This window comes from Homo sapiens, chromosome 10 (assembly GCF_000001405.40).
Source record: "Homo sapiens chromosome 10, GRCh38.p14 Primary Assembly".
NCBI lineage: Eukaryota > Metazoa > Chordata > Mammalia > Primates > Hominidae > Homo > Homo sapiens.
The window spans coordinates 5,111,382-5,128,288 of NC_000010.11; the positions used below are offsets into that span (position 1 = coordinate 5,111,382).

General features: G+C 38.6%; 1 protein-coding gene across 8 annotated transcripts in view; it reads right to left on the minus strand.

The window, feature by feature from the left end:
* Positions 1–4,431: 4,431 nt before the first annotated feature.
* Positions 4,432–16,907, minus strand: part of AKR1C8 (aldo-keto reductase family 1 member C8) — a 69,338-nt gene continuing 56,862 nt past the window's right edge. For 3 of the 8 annotated variants that reach the window (XM_047425156.1, XM_047425157.1, XM_047425164.1), the window contains exons 11-12: positions 12,330–12,439; positions 9,100–12,058 (exon numbers count right to left, since the gene is read on the minus strand). The gene's annotated coding sequence lies outside the window, so the exon portion shown is untranslated. Of the gene's footprint in view, positions 4,972–5,463; positions 5,650–9,099; positions 12,059–12,329; positions 12,440–16,907 lie in introns of those variants that run through there. The other 5 variants (XM_047425162.1, XM_047425161.1, XM_047425160.1 and 2 more) reach the window with 5 other exon arrangements.

The following is a 16,907-nucleotide window of genomic DNA, read 5'->3' on the forward strand; positions in this document are numbered from 1 at the left end:
CAGGAAGAAGTTGAATCTCTGAATAGACCAGTAACAGGAGCTGAAATTGTGGCAATAATCAATAGCTTACCAACCAAAAAGAGTCCAGGACCAGATGGATTCATAGCCGAATTCTACCAGAGGTACAAGGAGGAACTGGTACCATTCCTACTGAAACTATTCCAATCAATAGAAAAAGAGGGAATCCTCCCTAGCTAATTTTCTGAGACCAGCATCATCCTGATACCAAAGCCAGGCAGAGACACAACCAAAACAGAGAATTTTAGACCAATATCCTTGATGAACATTGATGCAAAAATCCTCAATAAAATACTGGCAAACTGAATCCAGCAGCACATCAAAAAGCTTATCCACCATGATCAAGTGGGCTTCATCCCTGGGATGCAAGGCTGGTTCAATATACGCAAATCAATAAATGTAATCCAGCATATACACAGAACCAAAGACAAAAATCACATGATTATCTCAATAGATGCAGAAAAGGCCTTTGACAAAATTCAACAACACTTCATGCCAAAAACTCTCAATAAATTAGGTATTGATGGCATGTATCTCAAAATAATAAGAGCTATCTATGACAAACCCACAGCCAATATCATACTGAATGGGCAAAAACTGGAAACATTCCCTTTGAAAACTGGCACAAGACAGGGATGCCCTCTCTCACCACTCCTATTCAACGTAGTGTTGGAAGTTCTGGCCAGGGCAATCAGGCAGGAGAAGAAAATAAAGGTTATTCAATTAGGAAAAGAGGAAGTCAAATTGTCCCTGTTTGCAGATGACATGATTGTATATCTAGAAAACCCCATTGTCTCAGCCCAAAATCTCCTTAAGCTGATAAGCAACTTCAGCAAAGTCTCAGGATACAAACTCAATGTGCAAAAATCACAAGCATTCTTACACACCAATAACATATAAACAGAGAGCCAAAACATGAGTGAACTCCCATTCACAATTGCTTCAAAGAGAATAAAATACCTAGGAATCCAACTTACAAGGGATGTGAAAGACCTCTTCAAGGAGAACTACAAACCACTGCTCAATGAAATAAAAGAGGATACAAACAAATGGAAGAACATTCCATGCTCATGGGTAGGAAGAATCAATATGGTGAAAATGGCCATACTGCCTAAGGTAATTTATAGATTCAATGCCATCCCCATCAAGCTACCAATGACTTTCTTCACAGAATTGGAAAAAACTACTTTAAAGTTCATATGGAACCAAAAAAGAGCCCGCATTGCCAAGTCAATCCTAAGCCAAAAGAACAGAGCTGGAGGCATCACACTACCTGACTTCAAACTATACTACAAGGCTACAGCAACCAAAACAGCATGGTACTGGTACCAACACAGAGATATAGATCAATGGAACAGAACAGAGCCCTCAGAAATAACGCTGCATATCTACAACTGTCTGATCTTTGACAAACCTGAGAAAAACAAGCAATGGGAAAGGATTCCCTATTTAATAAATGGTGCTGGGAAAACTGGCTAGCCACATGTAAAAAGCTGAAACTGGATCCCTTCCTTACACCTTATACAAAAATCAATTCAAGATGGATTAAAGACTTAAACGTTAGACCTAAAACCATAAATCCCTAGAAGAAAACCTAGGCATTACCATTCAGGACATACACGTGGGCAAGGACTTCATGTCTAAAACACCAAAAGCAATGGCAACAAAAGACAAAATTGACAAATGGGATCTAATTCAACTAAAGAGCTTCTGCACAGCAAAAGAAACTACCATCAGAGTGAACAGGCAACCCACAAAATGGGAGAAAATTTTGGCAACCTACTCATCTGACAAAGGGCTAATATCCAGAATCTACAATGAACTCAAACAAATTTACAAGAAAAAAACAACACCATCAAAAAGTGGGCAAAGGACATGAACAGACACTTCTCAAAAGAAGACATTTATGCAACCAAAAAACACATGAAAAAATGCTCATCATCACTGGCCATCAGAGAAATACAAATCAAAACCACAATGAGATACCATCTCACACCAGTTTGAATGGTGATCATTAAACAGTCAGGAAACAACAGGTGCTGGAGAGGATGTGGAGAAATAGGAACACTTTTACACTGTTGGTGGGACTGTAAACTAGTTCAACCATTGTGGAAGTCAGTGTGGCGATTCCTCAGGGATCTAGAACTAGAAATACCATTTGACCCAGCCATCCCATTACTGGGCATATACCCAAAGGACTATAAATCATGCTGCTATAAAGACACATGCACACATATGTCTATTGCGGCACTATTCACAATAGCAAAGACTTGGAACCAACCCAAATGTCCAACAATGATAGACTGGATTAAGAAAATGTGGCACATGTATACACCATGGAATACTATGCAGCCATAAAAAATGATGAGTTCATGTCCTTTGTAGGGACATGGATGAAATTGGAAATCATCACTCTCAGTAAACTATTGCAAGAACAAAAAACCAAACATCGCATATTCTCACTTATAGGTGGGAATTGAACAATGAGAACACAGGGACACAGGAAGGGGAGCATCACACTCTGGGGACTGTTGTGGGGTGGGGGGAGCGGGGAGGGATAGCACTGGGAGATATACCTAATGCTAGATGACGAGTTAGTGGGTGCAGCACACCAGCATGGCACATGTATACATATGTAACTAACCTGCACATTGTGCACATGTACCCTAAAACTTAAAGTATAATAATAATAAATAATAATAATAAATAATTAAAAAAAAAGAAATGCTGGAGGTAATACTTCAGTTGAATAGAAGGAAGTAGACAGTAACTCAAAGCCATATAGAGCTATAAACACTTCTAGTCTATGTAAATAAATATATGGCAAAATATGAAAACATGTATTTTTGAATTTTTGGTTTGTATTCTATTTTTCTTCAGAATTTAAAACACAGAAATAAGTATAATTATTTGTTAATATGTACACAATATATAATGTCCTAATGAGTGACAAAAATAATATGAAATGGGAAAAAAACCTGGGAAAATTAGTTTTTATATGAAATGGAAGTTAAATTGATGTTGATTCAATGTAAATTGTTATAACTCTATGAAGTTGTATGTCATCCAGACAGCAACTACAAAGATAATAACTGTAGAATACACTCAAGAGGAAATGAGAAGGGAATCCAAATGTCATTTAAAAAATTACACAATCTCACAAAATAGTAGTAATGACGGATATGAAGGACAAAAGCTATAGACATGGAGAAAAACATTAAAAATGGCAAAAGTAACTCTTTTCCCGTCACTAATGACAGTCATGTGTCATGTAATGCCTGGCTATCTTCTTGAGAAGGGCTTTGTTAGGTAACTTTTTCATTGTGCGAACATCATAGTATATAGATAATTCTCTCAAACCTTGTCATGATCTTATCAGCGATCTTTATGTCATATTCTAAATCCTTTGTTTTCATTTCAACATTCTTCATAGCATCTTCATCAGAAGTGAAATCCATTTCACCAAACCACTTTCTTTGTTCATCCATAAAGAGCAACTTCTCATTTGTGAAAATTATATGAGACTGCAACCACTCAGTAATAGTCAGTTTTCAATCTAATTCTAGTTCTCTTGCTATTTTCACCAAATCTGCAATTACTTTCCCCACTGAAGTCCTGAATTCCTCAAAGTCATCCATCTATGAGGGCTGGAATCAACATCTTCCAAACTCCTGTTCAAGTGTATATTTTGCCCTCCTTTCATGAGTCACGAATGTTCTTAGTGGCATCCAGAATAGTGTATTAGCGTTCTCCAGAGGGACAGAACTAGTGGAATATATATATATATATTTAAATATATATAAAGGGGAGTTTACTAAGTATGAACTCACGTGATCACAAGGTCCCACAACAGGCCATCTGCAGGCTGAGGAGCAAAGAGAGCCAGCCCGAGTTCCAAAACTGAAGAATTTGGAGTATGATGTTCAAGGGAAGGAAGCATCTAGCACAGGAGAAAGATATAGACTGTGAGGCTAGGCCAGTCTCTCCTTTCATGTTTTTCTGCCTGCTTATATTCTAGCCATGCTGACAGCTGATTAGATTCTGCCCACCCAGATTAAGGGTGGGTCTGCCTTTTCTAGCCCACTGACTCAAATGTTAATCTCTTTTGGCCACACCCTCAGAAACACACCCAGGATCAACATTGTATTCTTCAATCCAGTGAAGTTGACACTCAGAATTAACCATCCCAAGTCTACCCTTTGTTAACTTGAACCCATACACATCTCCTGAGATCATACATAGTATTCAAATAAATACAATAATAAGGTCATAATTATGCCTAATACAACTATCCTTCCTACAACTGGAAACGCACCAATCCTCACCCCAAATACTATTACATAAAGTAAACAATACTTAAATGCTGATGTGAAGTCAATAAATCTTATGTCACATGATAAAGAAAATAAAATGAAGATTTTTTTTAGTACAAGTATATACATGCACAAATATGGTTTTAACAAAAGGAGGAAATACTCATGACAATTACCGTCCTCTTTTCTGCAGTTGGTCACATGGTCATAGCCAGTATTGATGACTACCTTCTTCTACTACCCAGTATGCATACCTATGTATACCTGATATACAAGCACCTCAGCAGGTCATGTTTTTTTCCTGGTGGAGTGACCCAAACCTTCATTTTTGAAGGATCTGGGTCACTTGTAGTCCTGCTGGATTGGGCTGTTGTAGTTTCCCATTGACCTTAATCACACAGCATGGTAATACTAAGCGACGCCCTAATGCATACTCTTCCTTACCTCTGTTGTGAAGTAGTAGACTGATTTCATCTTGATAGCCCGGGTCAATCACCCCAGCCAACACTGTACCTCCCTTCTTACCCTGTTGACTTAAAGGTAGGAGGAACCCAAAGTGTCCAGATGACTGTCTTTCAGTTTAATGGAATTGTCATTGTGTCTCCCGGTGGCAGCGTTCTTCCCTCTAGAACTAAGATCTCTAGGCCAGCAGAAGGTGAAGTCACGGGAATAGGAAGCAAAAATTTTGTTAGTGGATCACTAGGAGTTATGCTGAGTGGTGCCACTTCCACTTCCACCCCTTGATTCCTGGACCGTGAATCCTGGCTATGAGAGAAAGAGTACTAATACATTGGATGCTGATTCAGGGCATACACAGCCTTCTGGAGAACTTTGCCCCATCCCTGCAAAGCACTGTCACCAACTTTCTAATCATGCTTCTTCCAAGTCCCTGACCACCCAGCCAAAATATTGGCTACAGGCCATGAATCACTATATAATCACACATCTGGTCATTTCTCCTTCCATGCAAAGTGCACAACCAGGTGCACTGCTTGAAGTTCTGCCCACTGGGAAGATTTCCCTTCATTGCTGTCCTTCAGGGATGTAGGACATCAAAGGGGCTGTAGTGCTGCAGCTGTCTGCTTTTGGGTGGCCCCTGCGTATCATGCAGAACCATCTGTGAATGACTTACAAAATACAGTAATTCTTGATCACTGGAAATGTTAAATCCTGGAAAGCGTAGCATTCGTATGTGTGATGTTAACATCATTTTCCCACACTTGTTGGCCGAAGATTCATTTGATGAATCCAATCTCTCCAAAATAGATGATTGTGATGATTCGTAGAATTCTGATGTTAGTTCTCTTTAGAAATAACTCTAAGAACAGTTTTTACATTTTTACATTGAAAATAAGTCAGATTTTCTTCAGCCTCAAAAAGTGTGTTTATGTAAAATTAAATGAGCACTGGCAGTGAGCTTTTTTTTTTTTTTAAACAGGAAAAGGGTTAAAAGGTGCTTCCTAAACATGAGTCTACAAAATAGCCACATTTAATTCACCGCTTAACCACTTTTAAATGTTAGTTTCCTGAGCCAAAATGAGGATTCAGGAGCAAACAATGAGGTAGCGGACTTGAGCTGCCCTCAGATAACAAGACCTATTTGTACATTTGGCTCCAGGGTGGTCTTCAACTATAGGAGATACTGGTTCATGGAGATATGGGAAGAAACATATCCACCCTCAATCGAGGATTTCTGAAGCAAGCCAGGACCTGGGGTAGGATTGATACCCTCCAGATTGTCTCCAATTTGGAAAACTTTGTCACAAATGGTATGTCTGTGATTATCAGGTATTAAGATCACCCACTCAGGACATGCTGGTTCTAGGTGTGTAGAGAAATTAGAAACTGTCTTAGTCCATTGTGTTGCTATAAAGGAATACCTGAAGCTGAGAATTTATAAAGAAGAGGTTTGTTGGCTCACAGTCTGGTGGCTGTACAAGAAGCATAGCATTGGCATCTCTTAGGCCTTTGGTGAGGTCTTCAGGCTGCTTCCACTCATGGCAGAAAGGAAAGGAGAACCAGCATGTTCCGAGTTCACAGAGTGAGAGAGGAAAGCAAGAGAGGAAAGTAAGGTGCCAGGCTCTTTTTAACAAGCAGCTATGAAAAAAGTAATAAAGCCAGAATTCACTTGTTACTGCAGGGAGAGCACCAAGCCATTCATGAGAGATCTGCCCCCATGACCATAATGACTTCACTAGGCCTCACCTCCTACATCGAAAATTCAGCATATGGTTAGGAGGGTCAAATATGCCAACCATAGCATTCTGCCCCTGATCCATAACCTCATGTTCTTCTTACACGCAAAATGTAGCCATTTCATCCCAATAGTTCCCAAAAGTTGTGACTTGGTCTAGCACCAACTTAAAATTCCAAAGTATAAAAATTCATATCAGACTCAAGGCAACTTCCTGCCAGTTATGAGCCTATGAAGTCAAAAATAAGTTATTTACTTCCAAAGTACAACCATGTTATCCATTGTGGGTAAACATTCCTTTTTCAAAAGGGAAGTTAACCAAAAAAAGGCAGGGGTAGGGACAGGGGAAACAGGACTCATGGAAATCAGAATTCCAGCAAAGCAGACATTAAACTTAAAGTTTCAAGGTAATTTCTGTTGACTTTATGTCTTGTACAACCTATGTGTCTAGATTCTTCTTGGCCTAAGTAGCATTCCTTCCTTCTGGCTGTGGGGCAGGGCCTTCTGTGAAATGGGAGTCTTATGACCTAGAGTCAAACAAGATAGGTCAGATAATTATTGTTATGGCCATAATTTACACAGAAAGGTGGAGGGAAAGTTAGAGTAGTATCTTTAGTTTTTATGGCTGGCTTTGGGAAAAATGGATTCTGGTTCCTATGACCTACCTTGGGGAAGAAAGATTCTAGTTTCTGTAACTAGTTTAGAGGAAAAGAGGATTGACATATAAGAGGGCGAGAGAAGCTCATAGAAAAACTTTTGCTTCTGAAGCCTTTATTTGGGGCATTGTTTGCTGAGTCCTGGCATTAATAGAGTTGTATGTTGGTTCTCTTATTAATCTGCCAATCATCAATTGATTTTTAGTGAAACATCAGAGAGCAAAGGGGAAGTTTTCCCTTGGCCCCTATAGCTGCCATTTGACTGGAGGGAGATATTTTGTTTTCTTTCTATTACTGGACAGTAAACATGCCTTCCATTCCCTTGAAGAAAAATACTATCTCTATATGCCAACACTGTTCACTCTATAAATTTCTTTAAAAAAAAAAACAGGTGGAATGCAGGGAAGTCAGTGCCCCCTACTTATCAAATGTGCGGAAATGTGAAAGACCTTGCAGAATGGTCTCCCAATAGGCATTTACCAATTTTGATCAATTACACACTCCTTACATGGTTTGTTTCATTCATAATCTACATCCTCTACCAGACTATAAACTCAAGGCATTTACATTTTATTTCATTTTTGCCTATTTATTGGTAAAACAATGTTTGGCACACAATGAATATTCAATAAAGTTTTGCTAGATGAATAAATGAATGAATGGCACAGTAAGCAAGAACTAACACCATGCCAGAACATGGGTAGATGATTAAGAATCTTAATAAATTAATGAGATGCACTGCTTTAAAGTCAGTAAAATTTTGAAATTTTTGAATAATATTTGATAGCTTGGAAAAATACTTGTTACTTCTGTTATATATAAAAGTACATAATCTACATGTAGAAGATGATTTCATGATTGTAAAAATGCACAAAACAAGCATAAATATTTGCATAGGAAAATTATGAAGAAAAATACACCAAATGTAAATTATTCTGGAATGGATGAATTACACATTATTTTTGTTCTCTATCTTTTCTATTTTCTAAATATTTATGTTATTTATGCACACTTTTTAATAATTAGAAAAACAAACATCCTCATATTCAAATCTTTGTTATTTCATAAAGTGAAGAAGTGAAAGGCAGGCGAACAGAAACTATAGACTCTGCTTTCTAATCCCCTCACCAAATACAGAGATCCTCTCCAAGATGCCTAAAAGGAAGAAATTCTGCTAGTATCACTCAATAGCTCATGGTCAATATTCTTCAGATAATGGATAACAAGGGTGATTAGCAGCATTGAAATAGAAAAAAGAATATTAATTTATAATTCTTTTCCCACTCTGCGAATGCAAGTGTTTTTCCGAAGGTACAGTGAGGGTTTGCTAGCATCCCATAACATGTATCTCTAATATCTAGACATGCAAAAAGTTGTTGGGAACAGGCCCCCAAATCTGGCCATAGACAGGCCCCAAAACTAGCCATAAACAAATCTCTGCAGCACTGTGACATGCTCATGATGGCTATGACACCCACACTGAAGGTTGTTTGTTTACCGGAATGATGGCAAGGAACAGCTGGCCCACCCAGGGCAGAAAACCACTTAAGGCAATCTTAAACCGCAAACAATAGCATGAGCGATCTGTGCCTTATGGACATGTTCCTGCTGCAGATAACTAGCCAGAGCCCATCCCTTTGTTTCCCATTTTAGTTAATCTATAATCTATAGAAACAATGCTTATCACTGGCTTACTGTCGATAAATATGTGGGTAAGACTCTGTGGCTCTCAGCTCTGAAGGCTGTCAGCCCCCTGATTACCACTCCACACTCTATATTTCTGTGTGTGTGTCTTTAATTCCTCTAGTGCCACTGGTTAGGGTCTCCACGATCAAGCTGGTCTCAGCAAAAAGTGATTACTGTTTGATTACTTGTAGGAATTCTTGTTATTCAGTAATAGTAGTATTATTTGTTTTCCTTTTCCCGTGTTCTTTTTTTTCATTTTTATAATTTGTCCTTTCCAACTGAATGTGAATAATGAGTACCTTTTCAGTAGTTAGTGTGCCAGGAGCTGTGATATTGAATAGGGTCACAGAGATGAGTAAGACAAGTCTAAACACTCTCATGAGGGAGGCCACAGATTTCTACTTAAAGCCTTTCAGTATGTAAAAGTCACTTCCCACATTTTTGTTCGTTCAAAAATGTCTTCTCTCAGAATCCTGGTATGGTTTCACAAAAAGAAGAGAGACTGTTCACATATTTTTGGGGGGGACTGAATCTCTATTCTCATAATTAAAATTTTTTCCCTATTTCTGAAATAGTCATATTTTTATTTTATTTTAGTTTTTGGTAATTATTCTACCAGTTTGGAGTGTAGAAGTGGAAAATATGATGCTATTACATTGCTAAGCAGCAAAATGAGCATATATTTCCAAGCCATGCTAATTATGATATTATATATGTAATGTATAAGTAATATAATGAATCAAGGGATTATAAATAGAATTTTAAGTTAATATGCTCTACAACAATCCAGGTTTTTTTTTAAGTGAAGCATAAAACGACATAGAGGCTTTTCTTTTTTTGATTTTTGCATATAAAATCTCTGTCGGGTGCAAACACACATAAAAAATTTCATTTTTTCCCTATTTCTACACTCCCCTCCAAACTTCTTTGTGTTTGATTCCTCTTCTTTCTCCTCAATCCTGAGATCCTGCCACAGTTAATCCAATGGAACGTCATGTTTGTGAACAAACCAAAGTTAAGGGATGTTGGGTTCCCCAGAGATGGGCTTCAGATGGACAAAGATGACACTGGAGTAAGAGTCTTGCCCTGAGGATCCAGAGAAACTCCAGAGGATCTTATCTTGGTAGAGGCCATAGGGGACACCTCAGTCACTAGCACTGAGGGTCTATTAATTTCATAATTCATTTATCATTCAGGTTGGTGAGATTTATAGAGCTGAGAAAATGAGAGTTGTGACAGGCGAAGAAAGCCAAGGAAGACATAAATTTGGGAGATATAAATGGTGTCCTGAAAAGGTAATGCCACATTAAGGAGAAATGCCACTGGACTCTTACGGGAGGACATGGAAGCAGGGCCCACTGTGACTTCCCTAGGACCTACGCACATTTACCTACCTGGGCCCATCTCCATAAAAATATTAAAATTATGTCTTACGTTGCCTCGGTGGAGACACAAAGAGGGACCAGGTTTGAGTCATTATTACATATTTGTTATCATATTAATTTTTCTTTTTTTAGCATAAATTAAGACAGCCCTGTGCCTTCTAGTCTAATGGGTAAGAGCGTCCAAAGCGTAGGACCCAGGCACAGGTAGTGAGGGCATCAAAAAAAGTGATTCACAATGGTGCAGACATAGGCAGTGTTACTTACAGACCAACATTCCTGTTGGGTCAGAAATTGAGCCGTGGAGGAAACCTATGGTCTGAGGGCTACAGTGAATCTCCTGTTTCACCCCATGCCTGAATTCAGGCCTGTCTTCCTGATGTAGGAAAGATGTGTCCCTCTGTTTTTGTGCATCCTGCAGAAAATGGTCTGTGAAAGAATCTGCATCACTTAAAATTGTAACTTAGCATGTCGGAGATTTCCGTTGAGGCTGTCAATGGCTTTCATGTCCTCTGGAGTCAACTCAAAGTCAAAAACCTGAAAGGCAGGCGATACTCACATTCACCTTTCCCAGGACAGCAGCTTCTACCTGGGAATCCAAGGACTTTGCAAGGGGCAAAGGCAAGGATGGCATTAGGGGAGGCATTTCTATCCTCATCGGCTTCCAGGTGCACCTGGCCTGGGACCTCTTCCACCTGAGCTCTGCCTCTTCTCCATCCCACCCCTCTTCTATTCTGCACCACTTCTCAAAAGAAAGATGTGCACTCATCAATCTAAAATATTTCTAGAAAATTGCTTGAGACAGAAAAAGGAAATCACTTGTTTTAAAATGGAAAAGAAAGTGTAGACACAATACCTGCCACCTGGACTTGACCACACTTGGTCAGGCTCTTGTTTCCCCACTTCCCCGGGAACTTGATCCAGCCTTAGACTGAGCAACCCTTAAAACACGGAACAATCCCATTCAAGAAACCAACCTAGACTTAAGCAAGAGAAATTTATTCAAAGGGTAGGACTCTGAGCATAACATCTATGTGTCTCAAAGATCAGTCAGAAAACATTTTTTATAACGACAAGCAAACACAGCTGCAAATAGACAGTATTCAGGGGTCATGAGGTGAGCAAGTAGAACAGTTGATCAGGAAATGCTTTTTCTGGGGCAAACATATTAGTATAATTATGGTGTTCTACACATAGAAAGAGACAAGCAAACTAATAAAAATACCCAAAGACTTTAACAGGTACTACTATAAAGAAAACTCTAAGAGAATATATGAAATTCATACTGAGTAAAGAAGGAAATGAAAAAAATCAGCAATGATTTGGAGACTAGAGAACACCTAATCCAACTCCTCATTTCAGAAAATCAAGAAAAGCAGATGTCGCTAGCACAGGAATGCATAATAAATTGCCAACTTAATGTTGAAACCCAAATCTCTGGTTTTGGTTCCATCCTAATTCTCTCCACCCATGCTGCCTCTTCTGTGGTAGAGTAGAAAACCTTTAGGATGTACAGAAAGCATTTGTGCATAGGAAATAACCAGGAAATGGACTTAGTCCAACAGTATCCTGTTCTCACCTTACAGGAAGCACATGTGTGAAGGACACCATGCAGGAGTCCTAATGCCCACCCAACGCCTCACCTGCATGTTCTCTCTGATCTGCTGTTCATTGGAGCTCTTGACCAGGACCACAGCCCCACGCTGCAGCTGGTAGCACAGAGCAATCAGGGCTGGGGATCACTTGTGCATTTTTGCCATGACACAAATAACTGGGTCCTCCAAAAGAACTGGTGAGTTCTGGTCCACCCTGGAAGGAAACCCAGAAATGCTGAAGCCCTGAGGCTGGATTCAGTTTGTTAGGCGGCTCCCTAAACAGACTAAGGTGTTCATTCTGCACCAGAGCGTCTCAAGTGAGGCCCCTGAATAACAGCAGCAGCATCACCTGGGATCTCGTCAGAAATGCAAATTCTCACCTTACCCTAACTCACTGAGAGTAAACTCCAGGAAAGAGAGTACCATATAATTAAAATACTTCATCAAAATGGCATTTTAGGTAAACTTCCTGATGCTCTTATTACCATAGTTCATGTCGTTGGGTTCCCAGAGCACTGTGGGCAACCAGAACAATGTCTTTTGACTTGCAGAAATCCAGCAGTTTGCTCTGGTTGAGGTAAGGATGACATTCCACCTGCAGATGACAAAGATAGAAAAACATCAGATAATATGAAACAGTTATGTTAATATAAAAAGATTACAGATTAAAGTAAAAGGAGGTGAATAAATATGTGTAGCATCAAATTTGAACTGACAATATTACTGTCAACTAATTATCTTTTCCATCAAAATAAATTTTATATTGCTGTTTCCTAAAAGTATACATAGAAATGTCATTTCTGAGCACAAGCAACTCCATGGACCAGATCCAGTATCTAACTACCTTTGACCACTAGAAGGGCACACAGCCAATTCCAGCTCTGGGATAGGGTAGGATTCTGAGCTTTGGACATCAAATTGTGCCAGAAAGTAAAAATTTCTTCAAAGACTCATGAGGCCAGGTTTAAAATGCAAAATAAGTAGTTTTATAGGAATATTACTAGTAATGTTTGTATAGATTTGAACATCAAAAACAATAATAAGTAAAATCAATCATAAATTATAGCAAAAACAATTCATGGGTTCATAGTCATGAGAGATTAAAAGAGAGAGCAAAAATATTTGCCTCCACTGATGGTGATTATTGCAGTAATTTCTTTCTAGGATATGAATAATTAAAGGGAAAGAGTTAAGCTTTTAGCACTTCTGAGAGGAATAACTATTTCTTTTCTTGACTTGGTGAGGGATTCTTTTTTTCATAATAAAATGTAAAGTCAGAATAATAAAACTAGTAGTTAAAATTGAAAGTAATTACTTTAAAGCCCCAAGGAAGGAACAAATACAATAATAAAATAATAACACAATACAAAAAATTAAAACATTAAATTTTAAACAATACAATTGTAACAATTGTAAACAATACAAAAAATTAAAACATCATTGCTATATACTCAATCATTATGTGGAAATATGTTGTGGAATATAACTTTACCTCTTGATAATTATCATCCAGCAGATTACTAGTAATTGCAAAGGGGAAAACACATCTCTATGAAGATTAGATCTGGCCACCATTAACTTAACCAAGTGATCAAAATTAGCATGACTAATTGTGGGGCAATCTGTCATTTCATGCTGCCTACTGCGGTGTAATTTCAGGGATACAGCAAGGTAGAGACAGTTTATCTCCAAAAATGTTTAACCTCGATGACATAAAGCATTCAAGTATAACTTCTAATTTACAGAAAAGTACCTTTTGAAAACGTAAAAAAAAAAAGTTAACTTATCAAAATACAGTAAGATGAAAATCACAATTGGATTTTTTTTTGTTTTCACGATACATCTTATATTTATTTACCACTTATTTAACATCTCTCATTGTTGTATAATTTTCTCTGTAGAAGTTGTACACATCTTTTATTAGGTATACTTTTGGTACTTAATATCTTTTTATATTATATGGTATCATTAATTTTTTTCATCTGCTGTTTATGGTTAAAAATAAGAGTTATAAAAGACCATTCAAGGAAACAATGGTAAATCTCAATACAGATGGGGTATTAAATAATCTGAGGTCATTATTGGTACTTCCTTAGATATAACAGTTGTACTGTTACTGGGAGAATATCTTCATTCCTATGCTAGCTTTGAAAGCTACCCACCCTGGTAGCTTAACACAAAGGACATAAACTTTTGGGAACTCTGTGACCCTGCCTGTCACCTGAGAAACCAGAATACCTCCCCTAGGGCAACATAAGGCAAGCTCAAATCTCACAGCCGGTGCTCTTTTGCAAGAGCTGGAAACCAACCAACACAGTTCATTACAGCATCCCTGGGTAGAATAACATTGCACCCAGGAAGAAGAAAACTTGTTTGTAATCTCAGCTGTCCCTGTTGCCTGCAACTACCTGACTAACAAGAAGTCCTGAGCCTGTCCCTGAGACATGTTCACTACTATTATATCCAGCATTTGAGAAAGCCAACACAAAATGGCTATCTGTAACCAAGGAATCTCACAGAGTCTATGTCACTTCCTTGACACCATCATGAGAGCTGGTGCTGGTACCCACTGCTGGGAGACATGAAGACAGGTCACATCACAGGATCCCTTGCCAATATTCCCCAGCACTAGCCCAGAGTTGGGCAACCCCACTGGGTGGCTAGACCCAGAAGAGCAATAGCAATCTATCACTGTAGTCTGGCTCTCAGGATCTTCTACTCCTAGTGTAATGGAAGGAGCGTCACATCAAGACAACATCCCGTAGCACAAAAATATCCAGATAGCAGGACTTGAGTTCCAGATCTTTACACTGGTGGGAAGTTTCTTTCAGCAGAGACACAATTTCAGTGCTAGATTCAGTAGGGAAAGTCTAAACCTCTACCACCAACAGTCAAATGGCCTTGGTGCTCATGAAGGGTCTTGGAGAAGGGGTCTTCTTTCCCCCCTTGTCCATCAATGCAGACATAGCTAGGGCTTCTCCTAAAGAAGCTCTGCATGGGTACACCTATACACAGCTTTCCTGGAACACTTCAGAATGACTGCATCCCCACAGGAGGAGCACTCCCCAGGTTCAGGCTTGCATGAGAGGCAGTCACAATTTCTCCCTACTTGTAACATCAACATTTCTACAGATGAAAAGAGGTACCTGTCTGATCTCAAGATTCAGAACACTGGGACAAGAGTGAGGCTGGGAAGTGCATAGCTTTCCTGTCAACCTGGTATGGGAGCTGAGGTAGCTTCCCCCCTTTACGTTGATAAGATAGGGAATCCAGTTGAGAGCTCTCCCAACCACATTGGGTACTTCATTTATCTACCTACTTTAACTACAAATGGTTCCTATCCAGAGATACCACCTCTACTGGCCTGGGGTGGTATCCCTGGGTAGGGGATACTCAATAAATAAAATAAACTCTATAAATAAAATACTGGGAAAAAATTGAATAAATAAAAAAGTGCACACAACAGGAGAATAAGATAAGCTTCAAGAGACTGCTGCCATTCCAACCCCATAGGAGACAGTGAACTTGCCCACACACTGAGTATATAGCTACTACAACCAGCATCTGAGGAAGCCATGATACAAAGACTCTCTATAACCAAGGAACTCATATAACTCTTCACACCTAATAGCACTAAGAACCCAATTAGGCTATTATAAACTATAAACATTAAAGTCAGTTCCTTAAAAGGGAAAAAAGACATTAAAGAAAAACAGGGAAATCAAAAATAAATTCAAGAACAAGTAGAAGAAGTAGTCTATCAAAATGAGAGGACATCAGAAAAGTAATTATGGTAATATGACCAAACAAGATTTTGTCATCCCAAAACCCTGGGGTCACCCAAATCACCCCAAAAAGATCACACTAGCTCCCCAGCAATAAATCCAAACTAAGATAAAATATTTAAAATACCAGATAATGAATTTAGAAGGTTCATTATTAAGCTACTCAACAAGATATCACAGAAAGGTGAAAAACAACCTAAAATTTTTTTTTAAAAAAATTCAGGATATAAATGAAAAATTTTCCAGAGAGATAGATATCACAAAGAAAAACCAATCAGAACTTCTGGAAATGAAAGGCACATTTAGGGAAATACAAAATGCAGTGGAAAGTTTCAACAATAGACTAGAACAAGTAAAGGAAAGAATTTCAGAGCTCAAAGACAAGGCTTTTGAATTAACCCAATCAGACAATAAGAAAAAAGGATCAGGCTGGATGGGTGGCTCACACCTGTAATCCCAGCACTTTGGGAGGCCAAGCTGGGTGAATCACTTGAGGTCAGGAGTTCAAGATCAGCCTGGCCAACATGGTGAAACCCAGTCTCTACTAAAAATATAAAAATTAGCCTGGCATGCTGGCATGTGCCTGTAATCCCAGCTACTCAGGAGCCTGAGTCAGGAGAATCGCTTTAACCTGGGAGGAGGAGGTTGCAGCAGTGAGCCAAGATCATGCACCTGCACTCCAGCAGCCTGGGCAACAAAGCAAGACTCTGTCAAAAAAAAAAAAAAAAAAAAAAAAAAAGAAATGAACAAATTATCCAAGAAATATGAGATTATGTAAAACAGCCAAACCTAAGAATAACTGGTGTTCCTGAGGGAGAAGAGAAGTCTAAAAGTTTGGAAAACTTACCTGAGAGAATAATTGAGAAAAACTTCCCTGGCCTGGCTAGAGATTTAGATATCCAAATAGAAGAAGCTCAAAGTACTCCTTGGAAATTCATTGCAAAAATATTACCACCAAGTCACATAGTCATGAGTCTATCTAAAGTCAACATGAAGGAAATAATCCTAAGAGAGGTGAGAAAAAAGCATCAGGTAACATAAAGAAGAATCTATCAGACTAACAGGAGACTTCTCAGCAGAAACCTCACAAACTAGGAGGGATTGAGGTCCTATCTTTAGCCTTCTTAAACAAAATAACTGTCAGCCAGAAATTTTGTATCCAGCAAAACTATATTTCATAATTGAAGGAGAAATACAGTCATTTTTAGAAAAACAAATGATGAAGGAATTTGACATTATCAAACCAGTTCTACAAGGCATGCTATAAGGAGTTCTAAA